We start from the raw sequence: 12084 nt of genomic DNA on the forward strand, positions 1-12084 counted from the left end.
CAGTCCAGTCAGGCCTGTGGCAGCACAGGCTTCCCAGCCTGGCCTGGTGGAGACTTGCCACCACCACCCTTTGGGGCTGACTTTGCCTTTGTTCAAATCCCAGCAAGTTCCTCAGTTCCTCACTCTCACAGCCTCATTTCCCAGTCCTGTAGAATGGGGATAATTCTAATAGCTCCCCTGCGGGGAGCTGGGAGGGAGAAGAGGAGGTCACACCTAAAGTGGGTAATTGATTGTCAAAATGTAACATTCCTGGGAAATGCTGGGGCCATTTGGCTTCCTTTCCAGCCCCCGATGGGTGGTCTGGGTTCTAGGAACCAGCAGCAGCTGGAGCTGGAGAGGGAGGAAAGGAGGAGAGAAAGTAGAGTGAGAGAGGTGGGGTCGGGCATGAGCACGCCCCGGTGGCACTAAGCCTGGTGCCCAGAGCCTGGTATTGGGAAAGCCAGCTTCTTCTCCCTCCCACGTGTACCAAAACTAGCACCAGAGAGAACTCTGAGCCCGTCTAGCTGCGGGTGAGACTCATCTATACCTGCTCCTTCACCTCTTCACCAGGGGAAGTTAAGCAGAGGGTCAGGGCACGCCTCGGGGCTGGGATAGTGCTGCCTGATGGTTTGATCTCTCTGGGTTGGCACGTCACCTGGACATCATCTTCATCATCTTCATATTAGCACTGGTGAGGGTAGGGAACAAGGGTTGTGGGGGAGGGGGGCAGAGAGCCTACGGGGTGTTCTGTGCCCAGCCCTGACCAACAGAACAATCACAAGCTGCTATGGGTTGAGTGGTGTCCCTCCCAAATTCCTGTGTTGAAGTTCTAACCCCCACCCACTGCCTCAAAATGGGACATTATTTGAAAATAGGGTTGTTTGAGATGTCATTAGTTAAGATGAGGTCATTAGGATGGGCCTTAATCCAGTATGACTGATGTCCTCCTGAAAGGGGGGAATTTGGGCACAGACGCACGAAGAGTGCCGTGTGAAGACAGAGGCTGAGTGTGGGTGGTGCTTCTGCAGGCCAAGGAACCAGCCCTGCTGACATCTTAGTGTCAGACGCCCGGCCTCCGGGACTGTGAGACGATACGCTTGCCGCGTAAGCCACTCAGGTTGTGGCACCTTGTTACGGCAGCCCTGGCAAACCAACACACACCCCCTGGGACAGGGGTCAGCCTCCGGACCAGGGACAGATACTGGCCAGCCCCGATGCCAACAGTGATCCTTTTTAAAATCAGCTCTGCACACCACGAGTTGCCAGGGAGGACCAAGCTCCTCAGTATTCCTGGAACTCCCCCGGGACCAGTCCAACTTCCAGGAGGCAAAACTAACGACTCATCTCATTCATGCGTTCAGCAAACACTGTCTGTGTTTGCTCTGCGGCAGGTGAGGCTGGGCACTGGGAATGTACTGGGCAGGGGCAGGCTCTATCCCTGCCCTTAAGGGGCTCGCTGGCAGCCTGGAGGGGAGACAGGCCCTTCCCAAATACAGACTCTTCATGGAGTGTGACAGAGAAAAGCTGGGCTGAAGGATGGCCCGGGGACCTCTGGTCTCTTTCCCTAGGGCAGCCTCCTTTTTCACGCATTCAAGACCTTTGAGGAATGAAGATCTTGGTTCTCAGGACAGCCTCTCACAGGTGGGAGGAAAGGTGCCTCTCCCAAGGAATGTGGGGTGGCTGGCTGTCCAAGTCAACCTCTGCAGGGCCTGGTGACCCTGCAGGACACAGCCAGCACCCACATTTTGCTGTGTGTGCCATCATCATTTTTCACCAGCACCCCTCTCAGAGAGACCCGAGGGAGCCACGAGCTTGATGATAATAGGGACAATCTCTTGTTTTACAGCTCTGTAAACCAAGGCACCAGGGCTCTGCAGAGATTGTGTGGCCAAACCCAGGCTGCCTGGCTGGTATCGGCACCTGCTGCTCTACAGACATGGGCTGTGAGCAGGGCTGAGGGGGATGACTTCTCCGGCCCGGCTGCGCCCCCCTGGGCACTGGAGCTCACGGGGACTAGGGCAGGGAGGCTGCGGGGATGGAAAGATCCCAGGCAGCTTCTGCCTCCTTGGAGCCACTATCAGTCTGCAGACCACCAGCCTGCCAAGGTCAAAGTTCACCACTCTCTCCCTGAAATGGATGTTATCCACAAGCTACCGGGCAAGGTCCAGTGTATCAGTGTGGCCTGATCATGTAGCGGCTCTGGTATCGGATTGCCTGGGCTTCAATCTGGCTTATTAGCCGAGTGATCTTGGGCAAGTTACCCGTTGTATTAGTCCCGTTCTCATGTTGCTAATAAAGACATACTTGAGACCGGGTAATTTATAAAGAAAATAGGTTTAATTGACTCACAGTTGTGCAGAGCTGTGGAAGCCTCAGGAAACTTACAGTCATGGCAGAAGGAGAAGAAAGAAGTGCTGAGCAAAAGGGGGGAAAGCTCCTTATAAAACCACCAGACTCAGGAGAACTCACCATCACGAGAACAGCAGCCCGGGGGGAACCGCCCTCATGATTCAATCACCTCCCACCGGGTCCCTCCCATGACTTGTGGGGATTATGGGAACTACAATTCAAGATGAGATTTGGGTGGGGACACAGCCAAACATATCACCTATCATCTCCAAGACTCAGTTTCTTCATCTGTAAACTGTGTCTTGAATACTGATACTTCATGATGTTGCTTTGAGGGTTAAACAATGAGATTTATAGGCAGGGCCTAGTGCACATAAGCCCACCCTCTAAGTGTCAGATATTCATATGTTTACTGGGATTAAGGTGTGGGCTTTGGTGCTCTGGAAGTGAATTCAGGGCCACCATTCACGGGCGACCTGATCTCAGGGCAGGTCACCACCCTCTCTGTAGTGGCCGCTGTGGGGCCCTGGCCAGTGCCCCTTCAGGGCAGAGGCTCTGGTTCCTGCAGCTTCCGGGAGTGTTGATGGTTTTGGTGGGGCCCAGCTGGGTTTCTCTCTGGGAGGTGCCCTCAGCTGAAGAGAACCACCTTGCTCAAGGTCGCCCCCATCTCCAAACCTGTGTCCATGAGGGCTGCCGTAGGGATAGAAAGGCCAGGCCCTCTTGCCTCAAGGCAAGATAACTCGGAAGGTTCACCAGCCGGGGCCTTCCTGGCTACTGCATGGCACTCACTCCTCTCTCTGCCCGTCCCGTGGCTTCTTACCCCCTGGCAGGCACTGTTTGTGAGAGCACTCCCTGAGAAGCCTGCACACAAATCTCCGTCCTCGAGTGTTTTCCTGGGAACCCAACCTGTGACAGTTGGTGCCAGGAAGGATCCTAGGAACAGACTCTAAAATGGGATCTTGGTGCTGCGTCCCCTGCCGGCCAGCTGGCAAGCAGGACCAGGCACATGGCTGTGGCACAGCTGTTCCCACTCGCCCGGCGGAGAGCGGGTGGGGAGCTGGTGGGAGGGATGTGCTGATGGAGGCTGGTCCCGCACACTGTGTCCTGTTACGCCACAGCCGGGAACCAGACCCTGGGTTCAAGTCCGGAGCTGTGATGGCTGCGTCCTCATCAGCAGGAAGCCCTGTCTCCTAAACGCTTTGGTTTCCTGAACTGTGAGGGGGTGAGGCGAGCTGATTGGCCAAGCTGATTCACCGCGGTCCCTTCCAGCTCTAGCATCCTACACAAGCCCGAGAACTAGGGAGAGGGGTTTGGGCGGGATGGGAGCGCCCTGGAGCCAACAGTGTGAATAAGCGAAGGGTAGTGGATGGAGGAGGCTGGAGGAGATCTTCTGGGGCCCACGCTGCCCGAAGCGGCCTGTTTCATCCTGGGCTCAGGCCCTCCCCTTCCTCCCCCGAGCCCTCCCAGGTTCTGATGCTAGGGCACCTGTCGCTGACCCAGCTGGGCCTGGATTTTCGTCTACTTTCCTCAGGATGCCCTTGTCTCCTAGACTTCCCTTTCTTCCTCCTGCGTCTGCCCCAGCCTGGCAGGAGTGTGCACTCAGGACCATTAGCAGTTGGGGAAGCTGGAGAGGACGTTGCTCAGGCACACGTTTGTGGGCTGTGGAGCCCTGAGGAGCCTCTGGGCTGTGGGTGCCTCCCTGCATCCCCTCCCAGCCAGCCCACAGGCAGGCACTCAGGGAAGACGTGGAGGCTCTGAAGGGCTAAGCGACAGCTTGAAGGCCACACAGCTGGTCACAGGGCCACATCCCCCACGTCCACATCCAGGACTGAGTAGCCCCAAGCTGCAGCTCCTTCCGCAGCCTCCTCAGCCTCCTCATTGAGGCCACCTGCGTTGTTCAGAGTTGAGAGGTGACATTGGGACTGTGCTTGGGACAGTGGAAGTTTTACTTTTACTTTTTGTTGTTGTTGTTGTTTTTGAGATGGAGTCTTGCTAAGTCGCCCAGGCTGGAGTGCGGTGGCGCAATCTCGGCTCACTGCAACCTCTGCCTCCCGGGTTCAAGCGATTCTCCTGCCTCAGCCTCCTGAGTAGCTGGGATTATAGGTGCCCGCTACCGCACCCGGCTAGTTTTTGTATTCTTAGTAGAGACAGGGTTTTGCCATGTTGGCCAGGCTGGTCTTGAACTCCTGACCTCAGATGATCCACCTGCCTTGGCCTCCCAAAGTGCTGGGATTATAGGCGTGAGCCACTGTGCCCAGCTCTTTTACTTTGTATTTGCTTGCTTATTTATTCATTCCAAAATGATATTGATTAGATATTTAAAAGGCTTTAAAATTCAAAACAAAGAGTTAAAGAAACTAAAATAAAGTTTAAAGAAAGTAAAAATTACCCCTTAAATTCCACCAACTGGAGCTAGTCACCGTTAACAGTTTGGTGAACAGATTTCCAGACAGCTCTGTGTGTGTGAGTGTGCGTGTGAGTTTGTATGTGAGATTTTATGATAATGGGATTATATACTGTTTCATAACCTGCTCTTTTTACTCAACAATATGCCGTGGAACTCTTTCCACATCGGTAAATGTAGCTGCACCCTTCATTTAACAGCTGTAGACCATCATCCATTGCATTCCACTGGGAATGAAGGTATGAACCGTGTTTCATTTACCCAACCTAATACTGGGCATTTAGGCTGTTTCCAGTATGTCTCTTATTACAAAAAACTGAGGCACGGGCACGATGACACCTCTGTCTTGGCCATTTGTCCAGCTGCTGTCTTAGGTCCATTTCAGCAGGTTGGTCTTCAAGAACAATCCCTACAGCAAGCAGGGGTACTGTGCTGCCTCATTGCAATGGCAGATCCTCATTTTCAGGAAATCCAGGGCTCCTCCCCAAGGGGCCAGGGCAGCAGAATCACACACACGAGGAGACAGCTTTCTCCTCGGGAAGTTCTGTGTGAGAGGCAGAGAGGGGCTCTTGCCCCGAGTCCATATCTAAAGTCGTGACTAGTCGTCCCCATGACAGTCTGCTCGGCTTCCTGCTGGAGTCTGGGGGGCCTGAGGACGGCCTGCAGCTCTGCAGGGGGCTCGGCTTTTCCTCCAGGAGGCAAGTGGGCTAAAGAAACTCGGGCCGAAGGCGGCTGGGAGGCCGAGGGCATCCCGGTGGGAAGGAAGGCTTGGCCTAGTGCCGCTGCTTCTCTGCAGGCCCCAGCACAGGAACTGAGACGGTGGGATCGAAGAAGTCAAGCTCACAGTTGGAAGGGGAGAGACCCACAGCCAGATGACCATAGGGGTGACAATTCTCATGCACTTGGTCAGGGGTGGATAATAAGAAAGGGGGTTGGGAGGCGATGGGGGTAGTTTCTCCATTATCAGACTGTGGCCTATATATTGGCCGGGTGAGGCCTTTTAAAAAAACACAGACTTACTTTATATTTACGAGCAGTTTAAAGAGCAGGCCAGTTGGGCAGAAGGTACAGAGATTTTTCCATCTACCTCCCGCCCCTACACAGGCACAGCTCTCACTACATCCTTCAGAGTGGTGCGTGTGTCACAATTCACAGCCCTTCCTTTACACAGCGTTGTCACTCAGGGCCCACAGTTGTCCCTCCGTGGATTTGGATTCATGTATCCATAACGACATGTATCCACCATTGTGTACACATTTGTAGTCAGCCTCCCTTTCTTAAAACTATGCCTTGCAGTGAAACTGCAACTCCCCTGCCCCTAACACAGACACACACACGCGCACGCACACACAGACACACGCACACACAGACACACACGCACACGCACACAGACACACACGCACACAGACACACACGCACACAGACACGCACACAGACACACACGCACACGCACACACAGACACACAGACGCACACAGACACGCACGCACACGCACGCACACGCACACATGCACAGAGACATGCACAGACACACATGCACAAACACGCGCAAACACGCAGACACGTGCACACACAAGCACAGACACACACAGACACACGTACACAGACGCACATGCACACACACAAATGCACATGCACACATGCACACACATGCACATGCACACATGCACACACATGCACATAGACACACAGACACAGACACACACGCACATAGACACGCACACAGACACATGCACACACAGACATGCACACACGCGCACATACAGACACAGAGACACACATACACACACAGAGACACACGCAGACACAGACACACACAGACATGCGCACACACACATGCGCGCACACATACAGCACACAGACACATATATGCAGACACGCAGACATGCAGACACACACGCACACACACATGCAGGTGCATGCACATACACACACACACACACACACACACAGTTTTTTGCCAAGGGAAGAGACATAGGTGAATGTATTTTACTGTTTTCAAAGGCAAGCTTTCCTCTCCACCCCTGCAGTGTGTCCCACGGTCACAGATTGGTTTACTGGGGCTACGGTGATTCCATCACAGGCTGGGCTTGGAGTCTGGAGGAGGCCTTCCAAAGAGGGCAGGAAGAGAAGGAGGGAGCAGGCAGAATCCCAGAGGCTTCGTGGTGGAATGTGGCCAATCGTCCTCTTTAACGGAGGCTCACAGGTGCCTCTGTGGAGGGTGACTGTTCTGAGCCGACTCACACTAGCTCGATCATGAAAACATCTGTTGCAGTCTCCAGTTAGTGCCTCTGCCCACAGATGGCCTTTGAAAAGTGCTTTTGGTGCATTCTGCCTCTGAGACAGTAGGCCCCCTCCCTCCCGCCTCCCTAGAAAGCTCACAGAACCGACAGGTGCTGTAAGGAATCCACACCAGGATAGGGCTGTGGCTGGGCCAGGGTGGAGGATGGTGTGGTTTGGGGCAGCCTGCATCTATTTTCTATTGTTTCATTCTTTACTGACAGTACCCTGCTCTTTCCTCTTCCCCAGTCTCAGACCTTGTACTCTGGAGGGGATGGCTCTGCCCCCAGAACCAGGGCTCTGCCACGTGACACAGGCCTAAGCTGGCCCACACATCACAGAGGTTGCCTCATGACCTGGTTGCCACCAGTTAAAAGGGCCTCAGGCTTCTCTCTTGAGGCAGCTCCAACCGGCCATCCCACCTAACTTACAAAACGTGTGGGGCCGGGAACGGGTCTGCAGAGATCCCCTGGGGCTTCTTCCAGGGACAAATGTGAATCCGAAGGTCGAAGTCAAAGAGATACTTAGAAACAATTCCCCTTTGGGATGTTAAAATGCTTCCAACAACTGGACTGAATATTGCAGACCCCTCAAATCCTGTGCTTCAAGGGTTCCTTTTGGCTGAACACTGAGAAGACCCCCAACCCCAGGTGTCACCTGTTCACAAGGTGACTTCCTGCCCCATCCCTGAAACCCTCCACTCATGCCCATCTCGGGAACTTTCAGCTGGGACCAGCTCTGGTTCTTGAATCTGAGCTACAGAAGGGCCTAAGGAGACCCTGGAGGCCTTCTGGGTCACCCCACAGATGAAGGAACAGGGCCCACAGAGCGGCCGTGACTTTCCCTGAGCCACACAAAGCCAAGACAAGAGCCTGGGAGCCCCAAGGGCCCATCTCGGGCTCTTTCCACTGTTACCACTTATATCAATTCAGAATGCAGCCAGCTGAAACAAGAGAAGACAGGAATCAGCTGTCAGGGAGTCTAGACTGTTCCAGGCCTGGGTGCTGCCACCTGAGCCGAACGCTTTTGTCTCTTTGCTCTGCTGTCCTGACCATGCGGTCCTTTTCCTTGTGCTTCTTGCTCCATTTTCCAGCGATCCTGTCCACTTTCCGGGCAGGAAGAGGGAGACGGGCTCCGGGGCAATGGGCTGTGCTAGCTGTTTGTTCCTCCTAAACAGCTGCCCTGAAACTTCTCAGGTTTCTTCAGCCAGAACCGAGTTGCCTGGGCACGCAGGAGTGAGTATTTGTACTTGGGCACGCTGCCACCCGAACAAAACTGGAGTCTGCTAGACAGGAAGAAGGGGAGAAGACCAGCAGCAGAGTCTGCCACAAGTTGTTGGATGGGGATCTTGGCTAAGGATGCCCTGCCCGGTAAACCACCAGGCCCTTCTCTTCAACCTCCAGCGACCCAAAGACTGACTTCAGTAGAGCAGATAACATTTGTTTTTTCTGTAGAGTTGGAGGTTTCCAGGGACATCAGAAGCTAGGAAGGAGGAAGGGGGGTATTCCGACCACGCACCACCTTCACATGCTGATCTCTGAGTTCTCTCCTGTTCTCGAGGGCCCTGCTCGGAATTGTGAGGGTGGGGAGTGCAGGGCCAGAGGGACGGGGGAGCCGCATGCTGGGAAAGGGTGAAGTCAGAATGCCATTCTACCGACAGCCTGCGTGCTCGGAGACCCGGGCCAGGCGCTGAGGCACCTTCCCGCACATTCCACCCCTCCACATGGAGCCCACGGGGGCCACGGACACAGACCTGGCTTGTCTTCCAGGCTGGGCCCAACTTCCTCCATGAAGTTCCCTGGTTAGGGGGAACCACTCACCCTTCCCACCCAAGCCCTGGACACCTTGGGGCAGGCACCTGTTAATGCGCTCATGGGGTGTGAGCTCACATTGCCCTGAACAGTGTTCTTCAAAGTGAGGTGGCTTGACCGGCAGCATCAGACCACCTGAGAACCTGCCAGGCTGGGGTGCAATGGTGCAATCATAGCTCAGAGCTCACTGCAATCTCAAACTCCTGGGCCCAACCAATCCTCCCCTGTCAGCCTCCCGAGTAGCTGGGATCACAGGCAAACACCACCACGCCTGGCTAATTAAAAACACTTTTGTGTCTGTGTGTGTGTGTGTGTGTGTGTGTAGAGGTTGGGCCTATGTTGCCCAGGCTGGTCTTGAACTACTGGCCTCAAGCAATCCTCACATCTCAGCTTCCCAAAGTTCTGGGATTACAGGCGTGAACCACCATGCCTGGCCAATATATACATTTTTAGAGATGGGAGTCTCACTATGTTGCCCAGGCTGGCCTCAACTCCTGGGCTCAAGCAATCCTCCTGCCTCAACCTCCAAGTAGCTGGGACTACAGGCATACACCATTGCACCCAGCTTCGCAGTCTATGTTTTAATAAACCCTCAGGTGATCCTCACATACGCTCAAGGCGAGAAGCTTTGACGTATATGACTCTCCGCTGTGAAACCCAGCTTCTGGCTTGTTAGCACCAACGCAGAGGCAGCTGAGAAAGGCAGAAACAAAAAGAGCCCACCCGGCCCCTCTCACTTCAGCACAGGCAACAACCCCGTGAAGACTCAGATGTGTTTTAGTCTAAGAATTACTGTTAGAGCTAGAAATCGTCGAGGCCCCATACCCGCTTCTCAGTTTATAGATTTGGGAACTGAGATGGGGAGAGGAGAAAGTATTGGCCCAGGGTGAATACCAAAGTGGAATGAGAATTCAAGTTTCCTGAATCTTAGGTGAGTGAGCTGGTTTTTATTCCACAAAATTGGAATATCTTTTTTTTTGAGGCAGGGTCTGGTCTGGAGTGCAGTGGCACCATCACGGCTCACCGGAACCTCCACCTCCCAGGCACAAGTGATCCTCCCACCTCAGCCTCCCAAGTAGCTGGAGGTACAGGTGTGGGCCACCACACTGGGCTAATTTTTTTAAAAATTGTTTGTAGAGATGGGGTCTCACTATGTTGCCCAGACTGGTCTTAAATTCCTGGGCTCAAGCGATTCTTCCACCTCAGCCTCCCAAAGGGCTGGGTTGACAGCGGTGAGCCACCACACCCAGCCTAATTAATATATCTTTTTAAAAAATTGTAGCATTTATACCTATTGTAAATGTTGTGTGAATCTTTTTCAAGAATGTTGTCCTGAGGAACACATCCTCATTGTAAACAGTCAAGAACACCTGGGGAGGAGTCTGAAGCTGGGGGTGACGGCTTGTGCCGTGTGGGCCACAAGGCCCTGTCTATCCTGTCACTGTCCCTCCTGCACAGCAGTGTTCTTCTACCACACCACCTCGGTGGCCTCTCCAAATGAGACCAAGGGGGGCAGGGCTAGTAGGCCGTGTACTTACTTCTTTGTACCTTCCAGAGCGCTGAGCACAGGGCTGTGCACACAGCAGGCTGGCCGACCCCAAGCACTTGTGGGGCCTAGGACAAGAGTACCAACAGAGGCCCGCCTACCATGTGGCTCCACATTAAATGTTACAAATCAAGCTAACAAGCTATTAAAGAGAATGTGTCCTGTCCTCCTACTTTGACAAACAAACCTTTATAAAGACTCAGCAGCCTAGAATAGGAGCTGCGGACAGAACAGGCTTCCCCGCCATAGCCCACCCGCTCTCTTCCCATCCAGGCTGCAACCCACGCTTCGAGGGCCTTGCGCATTGCAGAGGACACGGCAGCCTGCTCATCACGCTCAACTACACCTCCTGCGAGAGCTTTGGCCACCTTGGGAGGCAGGATCTAGGTAAGGGGCCCTCCAGACCCTGGAAGCTGGCTCAGGGCTGTTTGAGGTATAAAGTCCAGGATCCCAGGTATCTGGAACATGGTGTGAAAAATGGGCTCTGGGGCCAGGTGCGGTGGCTCATGCCTGTAATCCCTTTGGGAGGCCTTTGGGAGGCCGAGGTGGGCGGATCACGAGGTCAGGAGTTCGAGACCATCCTGGCCAACATGGTGAAACCCCATCTCTATGAAAAATACAAAGAGTAGCCATGTGTGGTGGTGGGCGCTTGTATTTCCAGCTACTTGAGAGGCTGAGGCAGGAGAATCACTTGAACCCGGAAGGCGGAGGTTGCAGTGAGCTAAGATTGTGCCACTGAACTCCAGCTTGGGCAACAGAGCAAGACTCCGTTTCAAAAAAAGAAAAGATGACCCCTGAGTGAACGCATCCCTTTTCCCTGTGATTGCTCCCTCTGTGGGTGGGGTGTGGGGTGTGGTCTGGGGGAGGCCTCTGAAGGCTTGCTTCTCAAAGTGTGGTCCCTGGACCACCAGCACAGGCACCACCTGGGAGCTGGTCTGAACTGCAGACTCTCAGTCTCATGCTGGCCCTTCTGAACCAGAGTCTACATTTTAACAAGATCCCCAGGCAGTTAATGTGCACATCAAGGTCTGAAAAGCACTGCTTGAAAGCACAAAACCGAGGACTAGAATCCCTCTTGCCTAGGTCTAGGGGTGGTACTGACAAGTAGGTATCAGTAAGTATTTGCTCAACAAATGGCCAATAGCCCTACAACAGGCCTGGTAGCCATGGGGGTGCTGGGGCATGGCTGCCTGACTCACAAGGATTTCATTTCCTTTTTCTGGGGCCTCGGTGGCCATGTGTCCGCTATACACCCTGCTTCTGGCCTGTGCTGACTGGTCCAGTGGTAGATGCCTGACGCACACTGGGCCAATCAGATGATCTCTCCCAGGAATTCCAAATTGAAGACAAGAAAACAGGCTCTGGAGTAATAGCAGTAGTGACAGTGAACATCCTTCCTGCACCCACCGTGTGCCAAGCACTGTGCTGAGTGTTTTGTGTCTTAGACTCTATGCCATGTGCCAAGCACTGTGCTGAGTGTTTTGTGTCTTAGACTCTATGCCGTGTGCCAAGCACTGTGCTGAGTGTTTTGTGTCTTAGACTCTATGCCGTGTGCCAAGCACTGTGCTGAGTGTTTTGTGTCTTAGACTCTATGCCGTGTGCCAAGCACTGTGCTGAGTGTTTTGTGTCTTAGACTCTATGCCGTGTGCCAAGCACTGTGCAGTGTTTTGTGTCTTAGTCTCTATGCCGTGTGCCAAGCACTGTGCTGAGTGTTTT

General features: G+C 53.7%; 1 pseudogene, besides 1 other annotated feature; it reads right to left on the reverse strand.

The window, feature by feature from the left end:
• Window positions 1775-11606, reverse strand: RPSAP30 (ribosomal protein SA pseudogene 30; annotated as a pseudogene).
• Window positions 1981-2275: a silencer, noted in NCBI's record as "tiled region #2091; K562 Repressive non-DNase unmatched - State 7:EnhWF". NCBI's record gives its function as "represses a minimal TATA promoter and a strong SV40 promoter by Sharpr-MPRA in K562 cells {active_cell/tissue: K562}" and the evidence as "EXISTENCE:reporter gene assay evidence [ECO:0000049][PMID:27701403]".

Source organism: Homo sapiens, chromosome 3 (genome assembly GCF_000001405.40).
Source record: "Homo sapiens chromosome 3, GRCh38.p14 Primary Assembly".
Lineage (NCBI taxonomy): Eukaryota > Metazoa > Chordata > Mammalia > Primates > Hominidae > Homo > Homo sapiens.